The 12,043-nt window shown below is 51.2% G+C and overlaps 1 protein-coding gene across 5 annotated transcripts in view; it reads right to left on the bottom strand.

Annotated features, from left to right (window-relative positions):
• Positions 1 to 12,043, bottom strand: part of KIRREL1 (kirre like nephrin family adhesion molecule 1) — a 106,618-nt gene that overhangs the window by 14,727 nt on the left and 79,848 nt on the right. For 3 of the 5 annotated variants that reach the window (XM_005245305.6, NM_018240.7, XM_047424312.1), the window contains exons 2-4: positions 9,274 to 9,423; positions 7,396 to 7,545; positions 957 to 1,114 (exon numbers count right to left, since the gene is read on the bottom strand). In XM_005245305.6, the coding sequence (XP_005245362.1) occupies positions 957 to 1,114; positions 7,396 to 7,545; positions 9,274 to 9,423 (458 nt within the window). Of the gene's footprint in view, positions 1 to 956; positions 1,115 to 7,395; positions 7,546 to 9,273; positions 9,424 to 11,532; positions 11,730 to 12,043 lie in introns of all 5 variants that reach the window. The other 2 variants (XM_047424310.1, NM_001286349.2) reach the window with 2 other exon arrangements.

Here is a 12,043-nt window from a genome sequence, read left to right as displayed (position 1 = left end):
AATATCTAAAAACATGTAGCCCTGATGAAGAAAAATCACAGTTTTTGGTTGTGAAAAGGTTAAGTACCACTGAGGCTGAATTATCATTTGTCAAATGAGAAACTAAGGCCAGAAAAAAGTGAAGCGAATTATCCAAGGTCACACAGTGTGTTAAGGGCAGAACTGAAGCCAGAAGCCAGGTATTCCTGGGATTGCTTGCTGAGGAGCATGGGAACATCTCTGTCTCCACACTGAGAAGTGCTCCTGCAGCACCAGCAAAGGGCTGAATACACATATGTTTACCCACAACTGGCAGGGTAACCCCAACCAGGAAATCTGGCTTTGAATTCCAGCTGTACTGTCCGCTTTGCTATGTAATCCTGGGCAAGTCACTTGATATCTTTCATGGCTTCCTCATCTATAAAATGTATACAAGGATCTCTGCTTCCCCAGCCTCTTTGTTGTGATGACTGGAATAATCTGACAACCAGACGCTGAAGGAAAGAGGTAGAAGTGATCAGTGGAGAGAAAGCACAGTCAGACCCAGGTACAAACCCCCGCTCTGTGCCAGCTGTGTGACCTTGGACAAGTCACTCAACCTCTCTGAGCGCAAGTTTCCTCCTTTGTGAGTTGGAAATAATGCCTCCTTTATGGGACTCCTATGAAGATTAAGAGAGACTGTCCATAAAGTGTTTAGCATGCACGGTGTCTGGCACACAGTAGGTGCTTAATCCATGGCAACTTATTATTACTATTAGTCTCTGTTCAGCTACTGAATGACACAGTAAACCTAGGAATTCATTTCTCTTCTCTGGGTTTCAATTTTCCCAACTGTAGAATGAGAGGGTTGAACCAGATGACCTCTAAGACCCCTCTCATGTCTGTGTGCTCCTGAGTCTGTGGTGAAACCCCTGTGGGAAAGGAGAGGTGAGCTGGGCTAGGCCCAGGAGGAGCTGGGGGAGCTGGCTGGAGCTCACCGTGCTGGCCACAGCGCCCTCCTGCTGCGTCCCGTCCCGGAACCAGATGATGGTGGCAGCAGGCTTCGCATTGAAGGCCCGGCATGTGAGGTTGTGGGGGGTGCCTGCCTGCAGTAGAATCACAGGGCCTCCGTCAATCCTGGTGTCCTCTGGGGGGACTGTGGGAGAAAGCAGAGCAAAGTCAGTGCAGGGTGTGGCTAACACTTCCCTGAAGACCAAAACTCCTGCCTCTGGAAGCATCCTTCCACCTGCATGTGCGCCTCTAGGTAGGCGGTACCACCCTACCCCCTAATCTACAACCACTGTCTTCATTGCTCTTGTGGTGGCTTCCTCTAGGTCCTCAGCTCACACATCTTTCCCAGTCCTTGTCTGCTTTTCTTTCCTGGCCTATAATATTTTCTGGTACTCCATGCCCCTACTGGTTTATTGTTTGTTTGTTTGTTTGTTTTTGAGATGGAGTGTCACTCTGTCGCCCAGGCTGGAGTGCAGTGGTGCCATCTCAGCTCACTGTAACCTCCACCTCCTGGGTTCAAGCGATTCTCCTGCCCCAGCCTCCCAAGTAGCTGGGATTATAGGCGCCCACCACTGCTCCCAGCTAATTTTTGTATTTTTAGTAGAGAGTAGGGGTTTCACCATGTTGGCCAGACTGGTCTCGAACTCCTGACCTCTCAGGTGATCCACCTGCCTCAGCCTCCCAAAGTGCTGGGATTACAGGCGTGAACCACTGTGCCTGGCTCCATACCCCTACAGTTGCTCAGAGCTGCACACTACAGATGGAAGCCTCAAACTTAAGAAAGGGCTGGGCTATCTCAGGCCCTGAGTACAGCTCATAGTCTTGGGAGTCTGGCTCGGAAAGGTGGCTACCTCCATAGCACTTCTCCCATCCTTCCTCCTGTCTGCTCCTCTGCCCTGGAGCAGACAGATGGGCTGGCCTATTACAGTAACCTCCATGTCACACTGCTAGCAGGTTATTTTTCCCTTCAGCACAGCTAAGTATGTGCCACTCCCCTGCTCAAGCACCTTCAATGGCTACAACTGCCTAGGGCATAAGTTCCAAGCATTTCGGCCTCCTGTTCAGGGTCCTCAAGCCAAGACCTGCATTGCAGTGCTTTCCATATGGCATGCCCTTCTCCCACAGCTTCTATTGAAGTGCTTCCTATCCTGTTCAAATCCCAGTTGATGCACAAGGCTTTCCATGCTGTAGCCCACCCCCACCATGGTGGCCCCCACCAGTCACTCAGAGCTCTTAGCGCCTTGGATTTTGTTTACTTATAACAGTTATCGAACCCTGCCCCAACCAAAACTGTGATCCCCTGGAAAAACAGCAACCCTGTCTCACTAATATTTATATGGTCACCAGTGCCTAGAATGTGACCAAGTAGGCTCTTGCTAAATGTTTAAAGAATTCAATTGACCGATGTATGATGTTGCAAACAAGGGGGGCTCTCCCTCCCCTATCTCCATAGGCTTCTAAGACAAACCAGACTGTAAGTTCCCTGAGGGTAGCGGCTGCTTCTGATATACCATCAACACTTCAATGTCTAGCCCAGGGCTTGGGTGATCACAGGTGCTCAGGGATATTTGCTGAATTAATGAATGGATACTGATGAAATAAAGGCAGAAGGATTTTGATTATAATTTTTCTGGTCCCCCCAGTGTTCATCAACCATAAATGAGAAAGGAACTCCTGGGCTCAAGCAATCCTCCCACCTCGGCTTCCCAAGTATCAGAAACTACAGGTACACACCATCATGCTTGGCTAATTTCTATTTTTTGTAGAGACGAGGTTTCGCTATGTTGCCCAGGCTGGTCTGAAACTCCTGGGCTCAAGCAGTCCTCCTACCTCAGCTTCCCAAAGTGCTGGGATTACAAGCATGAGCCAGCGTGCTCCACCGATAAAAGATTTTGTTTGCTTCTTTCTGGGAAAGACAAGAAAGACCCAGAGGAGGGTCCAGAGGGAACACTCGAGAGGAGTGTGCAGAGGGAACACTCAAGAGGAGATCTTGGGAGACCCACGGTGCCCAGTGGTGGACAGGGCTGTTCTAGAATTTACACAATGAAGGTCTCTATGCTGGGGTTTCCAGTAGAAACTACTCGAAACCTGTCTTAGCATTCTGTTCAACTCATGTGTGCCTAGTGGTATAGTGGAAAAAGAATAAAACTTAGATTCAGACTGCCTGGTTTCAAATCCTGGCACCTTTGTTTACCTGCTGTGTGATCTCGGATGAGTTCCTAAAATCACTGAGTCTCAGTTTCTTCATCAGAGAAGAAACCAAGACATAACCATACTCACTAGAGCCTCATGAAGGTCAGATGAGATACTATACATAGACTATGATGTGCAGGGCATGTGTGAGGTATGGAATGTATTAGCCTTACTGCCTGGACGAGAGTAGCAGTGGCTCCAACTCCTGCCTGGCTAATTATCCTCTGAATCCCTGGCTCTTCCTCCTTGTTCTGTGGTGTATCTGGTTCCAATGCCAGATGGGGACAGGTTTGAGGATGGGGATGGGGAGCAGCTTGAAAAGTAGAGAAAGGTGGAGAGAAATGAATAAAGAGCTGCTGCTCAGGGCCTCCTGGTCTGCTCAGGCCCCTCTAAAGTCACATGTTGCTGCCACACCCAGGAGGAAGATCCTGGATGGGCAGAGCCCCGAGCAGACAACATGCCCAGGTGTGTGCCCGGGTGTGTGAAGCCCCTCCGCTGGGAAGGCATCAGCTTCCTCTACCCTGGGAATGCCTCCTGCCCCTTTGTTCATGCAAAGACTACCCATCTGTCACCTCTGCCAGCAGTCTACCTTTCTCTGAATTTTCCAAACTCTCTGCCCATCCTCCGTGAGCTCATCCCTCATATATGAGCTCGTCCCTCATATATGGGACAAATGACAATAAAGCTGTTAAGGTGCCTGCTGAGCCAGCTGTTAAAGGGCATGTGTCCATGTGTGCATGTGTTTATAAGCAAGTTTTTATGGTTTGTGACTTAAATCTGTATATCAATATGCTCATGTGCCTCCCCAAACTCATGTGCCCCTGAGTCTGTGGTCAAAAAAGCCTCAGTCTCCTTGTTTATAAAACTTCAAAAATACAATGGACACCTACTCCCCTGATTTTGCAAAACAAAATCAAGAAGGTGAAGCCAACTGTAAATGGTGGTGGGATCGACAATAACTTCTGCCACTCAGTGAACGTTCACCTTGTGTCAGCCAAAGTGCCTCCTGTATATGACTTCATTTAATCCCTACCACAAAGTATATTTCATTATTCCTTTCATGGTAAATATATTAACCCCAATTTACAGATAAGGAACGGAGGCTCGAAGAGGATAAACAAATGTGCTCAGAGACAGGAGAGTGAGTTAGAGGGCAGAGCTAGGATGTGGACCAGGCTTGCCTGACCCAGAAGTCATGCTCATCACCATGGTTTTGGAGGTCTGTATATCTATGTTATGTCTGCATCTGCGGGGGAGTGGGAGGCTTCTTTTCAAAGTCCTACCCTAAGGAAGAATGACAGAGGCCATTTTGTGAAGAGGGCCCCTGGCCTGGGGAGCTGGGGGGCTGCTGAGGGGGATGGCTGGGGAGGAGAGGAGTCTATAAGGCTGACATCATGCAGGGAGGCTGATACCAGGCACTGGGCACAGCCCACTCCTCATTTCTGCCCTGCCTAGTCTCTGGGTCCCCCAGCTGCCATGAGCAAAGGCTGTGGGTAAGCAGGTACGCAGGAAGGGATGCAGGAAGTGTCATGCCTTCTTATTGCCTCCGTGTGCTGCAGGTGGCAGGGTGTTTGAGAATTTAAGAGAAAGACAAGGAGAGGAAAGAGTGAAGGGAGAAGGGCCTCCTGGTCTGCTCAGGCCCCTCTAAGGTCACATGTTGCTGCCACACCCGGGAGGAAGATCCTGGATGGGTAGAGCCCCGAGGAGACACCATGCCCAGGTGTTTGCCCAGGCGTGTAAAGCCCCTCCAGCTGCACTAACCGTCCCTGTCTCTCTTTCAGCTTAAAGTTACTCCTGGGGTCTCTCCCTGTTCTCTCATCCACCCAAGTCACCCAGGCAGGCCAGCAAGGACCATACCTTCAATACCCACCATGCCCTCGAAACAAGCCAGTCGGCTCTCCTGCTATGTAGCTCTCCTTCATTGGCCTGCAAGCTTTTAAACAAGGCACTCTTCCATCTAGGGTTCCCCTTGATATTCTCCTTTTCCAGGTTCTTCCTGGATTGAACCAAGCCACTGGGTGCCATTATAAGACATTGTTACTGCAACACTTAGTAGCTTAGCTGGCCTTTCTTCATCTCTCTCTATCTCTGTGATAAGGTAGCAGAAAGAAGAGTATCAAGGTCCACTCATTAGGAAGCGAGTACTCCAGGGCAGCAGTAGCACCTTCTAGGGCCTAAGATAGAGGCAGTTAGGGAGGAAAAAAGAAAGAAGAAGGTTTCCTAAGAGTCTCACGGTTCCTCGGAATACTTGGTTGAGCATGGGGCTGACACACCTCAGTGAGGGATGAAAGATGATGTCTTGGCATTCAAGATCACCGTCTAATTTTTGCTGTCTAACCTCATTCCTGCTCCTTGCTAATTCTTTCCATTTTAGTCCTAGAGAGGAAAAGCAAATCATCCAGCAGCCTTGAATCCTGGTCCTTCAGGGCCTTTACATCCAATGAAATTGGCTGTTGGGTCCCTCCAGTCCTCACTTATTCTGACATCTCACATTCGCCCAGACCTTCACAGTTTACAAGTCTCCATGAAGCAAAGCAGCAGTTGCTAAGAAAAGGCTGGTGTCATTATGCCATGTTACTGATGAGAAAACTCATGCCCAGAGGTTGTCACCTCTTTAGGATCATGATGCCAAAATGGCCAAAGTGCCCAGGTCTCCTAACCACCAGCAGTCTAGGACTCTCTCTTTCCACTATGCTCTGAGGACTTGTTATGTTCTCACCTCCCTCCTTGCAAAAACAAAAAACAAAACAACAGGCTGGGCACAGTGGCCCATGCCTGTAATCCCAGAACTTTGGGAGGCCAAGATGAGTGGATCACCTGAGGTAAGGATTTCGAGACCAGCCTGGCCAACATGGTGAAACACCGTCTCTACTAAAAAATACAAAAATTAACCAGGCATGGTGGCGGGCACCTGTAATCTCAGCCACTCAGGAGGCTTAGGCACAAGAATCCCTTGAACCCGGGAGGTGGAGATTACAGTGAGCCGAGATCATGCCACTGCACTCCAGCCTGGGTGACAGAGACTCTGTCTCAAAAAACACCAACCAATCAACCAACCAACCAAACAAACAACAGAAAACCTTCCTTGTACCCAAACTCCCTCATCTCAGCTCCTCTCTCCTTTCTCCCATCCATCTTGGGGGCTCCCCGCAAATTCAGTGATTTCAAGTTAGAAGGAAGGAAAGGAAGAGGGGCAAAACATATCAAATGGAGGCAGAAAAAAAAGGGACAGAGTCAATGTAAATAGGGAAGAAAGAGAGTCACAGATGGACAGAGTCCAAGCCCAAGACAGAAAGCACAACAGAGGCAGAGGCCCAGTGAGACAACAGGGCTGGAGAGAACAGGAAGACTGGCAGATTCAGAGGTATTGCAAGAGTGAGGCTTGGAGAGAGGCTGGGGGCTGAGTGGGTGAGGGGGGGCAAGGGGTGTGCTGAAGCTGGCCTCCTTCCGGTTCTGTGGCACTGCTGCAGGAGAGAGTCCCCTCATTATGCAAATGGCCTCGGGGGTTACCATAGAGGGACATCTGCTCGGTCCCCCAGTGGGTGGCTGCCTGGCTGGCGCAGGGCTTCCAAGAGCTGCAGGGCTTCCAAGAGCCAGCAGCCATCCAGACACAGCAGGACCCCATCCCTCCCACCCCTCACCCCAGTTTTCAGCCTCAAGGCCCATTCCTTCCAGTCCTATTCCCCTGTTCCTGGAGGAGGCCCCCAGGTGAATTTGAGAGGAAGGGTGAGCACTGAGGGAGGAAAGGAGGCAGCTGAGGGAAGAAGGGTTGTGTGAGGCTAGGGTGAGGTGGAAGGAGGGGCACGGGGGCCGTTTGGGGTCTCCGAGGCAGCTGAGAGGAAAGTGGAAGGGAGACGCCCCCTCACCAACAAGCCTGCCAGCCAGGACAGCTGGGAAAGGAGGGCCCGGGTCTCCATCACTCCATACGTCCCTGCTTCTTGTCTCCACAGCCTTGTTTCTAAAAGGCAGAAGGCCCTGTCCCTGAGTGGCCGAGGCACTGGCTGCGGCAGAGAGGATGCTGGGCCTCACACAGCTCACGTCCCGCCAGCACCCCACGTCTCCCACATGCCTGGTTTACTTTCTTCTACCTGGACTTGAGCATTAGGGCAGGGATAAGGCCAGTAACAGAGAGGGAGAAGCTGGGAAATTAAAGAGGGAACTGGAGAGTGGGAGAGACTGCCAGGATACAGAGAGACAGGGCCTCGAAGTACTGAAGGGTATTGGGGTCCTTACTGAGCACGGTGAGTTTGGCCCGCCGAGAGCGCAGGGCGGCCTCCGTGGCCTGGCACTCGTAAGAGGCGTCGTCAGAGAGCTCAGCATCTGTGATCTCCAGGTTGTACTGCCCAGCGTCTGCGGAGCCCACAACCCGGTACCGTGGCCAGGCTGCAGAAACAGAAAGAATGAGGCCCAACCTTGAAACAAGGACACATCCTCAGCCATCCCACACCAGTACTCCTCCCTCTGCCCTCTCCTGGGACACCACTGACAGGTGAGAAGGTGAGGCCCCAGACACAGACACCTGATGCCACGACACCTCACGGCGAGGCTGGGAGCCATACAGCTGGAGGAGCAGACAGGAGGGCAGCTGAAGCAGGGAGGCTAGCAGGAGCAGATGAAATCTCCAAGGCTGTTTGCAGACAAATGCCTCTCATAATAATAGGGGAGAAAGAGGAGAGAAAAAGGCACACAGCAGGGAGCAAAGGAGAGGGGGAGAGAGGGAGAGCGAGTGTGTGGGCGCCAGGAAATATAGGGCATCGCAGCACAGACATGAGCTCATGGGAGCACCTCTGCAGGACTCATAAGGCAGAGGGAAGCCCAAGGCAGGCCCAGGGAGGAAGGATGAGGCAGGGGACCGCTGGCTCCCCAGAGGAGCTCCTAAACCAAAGAGTCCTGGTTTCCTGCAGAAGCAGTGGCTGAGGCAGTGGGCCTTGCCCTCCTTCCTCCAGGCTCCCCCACCCGCTTCTTGCTTCCCAGCCTCCCCTCACATTCCCACCATCAGCTCCTTCCCATGATCTCCCTCTGTCCAGAGGCTATCGATTCTTCTCACTCCATATCTATTGATCTCACTCTCTCTCCCAGTTTCTTTCTCTTTCTATCATCAATAGATCTACCAGACCCATCTCTTTCCCTTATATGGATTGCTCTACACAGACGAATTTCCTCTACCTGTACTAACACATGGAACTCACAGCAAATAATCTCAACTCCCTCAACAATTATAAGAATAAAAATATACAGCCCATCCCCCACACCCATACTTACTTCTTTACAGTGCTTTAAAGCTAAAATATGTTTTTACAAATCTCTTCTCCCATTTGGCTCAAAACTCACAAATGCACTTCTAAGGCAGACCGGCCTGCAACCACTATGCCTGCTTCACACAGTAAATGAAGGTCCAGAGAGGTGAAGTGGCTTTCCTAAGGTCACCCAGCTGGCGGAGGCAGGACTAGAACCCAGGTGTCCACTCTGCCAGGCAGCCTTTCCAAAGGTCTCTTTACTTGCTTTAGAATATAGGAAGTTGGTTTTTTTGTGTTTGACTGACTCATTATGTTTGCTTCAGCACCAGCTACATAGCCAGTGCTTAATAAAGGCTTGTTGAATGAATAAATAAATGAATGCTCAGGCTGATATTAAAATGAGTTTTTGGCCTCTGAGCAGACATCGCCTGGGCAGCGGGGAGGAGAGAGGCTGGAGCCGAGCCAGGCCGGCATGAGACACTTGCGGGACACAGAAGTTGCCTGTGCCCTCTCCTACCCTTGCTGCAGACTCTGGAGTCTCCCAGCACCTCCTGCTAGACAGCTGTCTGCCTGCAGCTCCCCTCACAGGGTCTGTGTCTGCCTGAAACTCTCTTATATAAAGGTCTCTTGGTTTCCCTTGACCTCTCAGGCTTCGTACTGCCTTCCTCAAGTCAGTCCTCAGTGGGAGGAAAGGTAGAGCTGCAGGGTGGGAAAGCTGTAGAAATGGAGCTCAGTAGCAGAGACAGAGGGGAGGCTGTGGCACAGAGGAGGGTGGTGAGGGAACTAAGGGATGGTGAGTCCAGGAATCTATGCTGGAAGTGGGGAATGGCGGAGAAGATGGGACAGTTTGGACGTTGGGTAGCCAGGCACTCACCTTTGAGGCCCTGGCCCATGCCCAGGGCCAGCCCGTCCTTGGTCCATTGCACAATTCCAGAGTAGTTGAGCAGCACACAGGGGAGCACGGCCCGCTGTCCAGCCACCACCGTCTGGTCAGCTGGCTCCTGGCTGAAGCGGGTCTGGGTCCCTGCAAAGCCAAAGCCAGCACTGGGTAAGATGAGTAAGGAGAGGGGCTCCTCTAAGAGGTCCCCCTCACCATGCAGCTGGAAGGAGGGAGAGCCTCCAGTTGGGGATGGGGACTCTCCGGTCCCTGCCCCCCTTCAGCCTCAACCCCTTTGTTTCAAGATGCCACGTCCTTACCCTTTATTCCTTCCTCCCTCTGAGACCCATGGGAATGGATTTCAGGAGCTGAAGTGCTCAGCAATCACAGAAAATAGTGCACTGTTACAGAAGGGCCTTAAAAATGGGTCTAGTCCAACCCTCTCATTTTACAGAGGAGGACCCTGACTTCCAGGGAGGACAGTAACTTACTCAAGGGCAAGTTAATGGCAGAGCTGGGATTAGAACCTGAGCCCCTGCATCCAGGTCCTAGCTGTTCCTCTACTACCCATTGCCCCAGCCCACCCCCACATTAATGACTCCTACTTAGACGCGTGTCATGTGAGCTGATGGGAGTCAATGTGAACCAACACTCATGTGCAACTATGCCAGGTACAATTCCTCCACGAATACATCAGGGTAGATACTATAAAGCCAGCATGTCCACATGTGTGTATAGAAGCTTCCTGGGTGGAAAGTGTATCCAAAACAAAGTAGCTCTGAACCCACTTCTTGGCACATGTGCCCTGCTCTGTGTGTTCATCCTTCGCTCCCAAGTGCAGGGGGGCCTAAGTGTGTACACATGAACACACCTGCACACACCCCGCCTCCTTCACTGTGGGAGCTGAGAGGCCACGTGACTTTGTTCCACTCTCCCTCCGGCTGTGGGAGCTACACATGGCTGCCCGGCTGGCAGCTCGGCCGGGAGCATTTGATTAGAGAACTGCAGAGTAATTGCCTTTAATTGTGGAGCCTAAATGGAGCAGGGAATTGCATTGCGGGTTTTTTCTCCCCCACCACTCCCACCCACTGGCTCCAACCAGCACTGGTCGGCCCCAGTGGTGGGGCAGGCCTAGGCTCCTTGCAGAGCTATGTGAGCTATGGGGCTCAGGTTCCTTTGCCAAGTTGTGGGGAAAGGAGAAGGGGGACAAGGGAGTGACTGAAGGACAGCAAAGGAGAGTTCTGGGACTTCCTTGCCATGCTCCCAACCTGTCATACCAGGTAACTGAAATCGGCTCTCCCCAAAAGTCACGGCCTCCTCCTTCTTCTTTCCCTCCACAGCTCATGAATCTGCAGAGGCCACAATCCCCAAATCTGACCTTTTCCTAACAGAGCTTTCTAAAATTTATCTGCCCCATCATCACTCCTGTGTGTAAGCAAACTTAACTCACCCCTCGCCACTCCAAGATGTCCCTCTAAGCCACCACAGAAGTGGGATCCTAGTCTCATCCCCTTCCTTCCTTTCTCTTCACCAGCCCCATTTCTCCTTTTTTCCTCAAACCTGCTCTACATGTCCCTCTTCCAGGAAGCCCTCCTAGCCCAATTCCTTGGCCTCTTGGGCAAATATAACCGGTCGCGTCACTCGGCCCTGCTGTTATCACTATGTACGGGGTTTCCTCTCTCAAATGATCAGGGGTAATGTCCATGATTTTGTTTGTCACAGGGTAGAGGGCAACTAGTAGGTGAGGACATTTGCCCTATCTGTTCCAGCAGAATGCCAACATCTCCTCTAAGGCAGAGGGCCAAGCTCTCTCCCCCATCTGAATCTCCTGAACATCCGACATCCATCCCCACTGGTTGTTGCACACAAAGGGGTCTGAAAAAGAGGTAGCTGGGGCCTAGAGTGGACTGATAACCAGAATGTGATCTAGCATGAGGCAGACTCTTTACTCTTGATTAAGTGTGCAAATTTAGGTCTTTGGGTCTGCAGGGGCCAGGAAGTTAGAAACAGGCTCCCTCTCCCATACTCCATGAGTGGCTCCTCAAGTCTGCTGACCTGACCTTTCATTCATGTCTTCTAAAGGATAATCCCTTTTGAGTGATCAGGGTGGCAGGTGCTGAGATCCTGGGGGAGGGGTGGGTCAGGTGAGCAGCCAACATTATTAATTCAAGCATTGTCCTCATTATTATTCAAATTTATTCATATCCTTGCGCATTTCTCTAGTGCAGCTATATGCTGCAAACTCTCCACACTCACGTTTCTCCTTCCCATGGCCCCTGGAGCCCAAGTCAAGGGCTTAAGAGTGGGCTTGCTGGTGAGCCCTGGCTCAGAGGTGGAATTTATACGCATGGCTTTCCTGCATGGAGCCTGGACACCCTGGTCTCTCGCTGAAGTCTCTCAAGGACAGTGAGCAGCTGGCTCCTTGTCCACTTGGAATGAAGAAGCAGCTGACCCTGCGGCAAGATGGAGATGGGAAGCACTTGAAGTAAGAATCAGGAAACGGGGGTCTTGTGGAGATGAGGAGTGGTGTGACCTTGGGTGTGTCAATTCCTCATATGGGCCCCCATTTGCTCACCTGTACAATGACAAGCCTGGACTGAGGAACGCCAAATCCCTCTGTGCCCAAATACTAAGAGGACAGGTTTAGGAGACAGACTGTGGTTTATATATTGCCTGTGTGGCTTTCTCACCCAGTGACCTTGGCCAAGTTATTTGCTAAGCTTCATTTTCCTGCCTGGTAAACTGGGGAATGTTAATGTCTATTTCT

This window comes from Homo sapiens, chromosome 1, assembly GCF_000001405.40.
Source record: "Homo sapiens chromosome 1, GRCh38.p14 Primary Assembly".
Classification (NCBI taxonomy): domain Eukaryota; kingdom Metazoa; phylum Chordata; class Mammalia; order Primates; family Hominidae; genus Homo; species Homo sapiens.
Note: the sequence above shows the minus strand (reverse complement) of the source record. Positions and strands in the feature narration are given on the sequence as shown.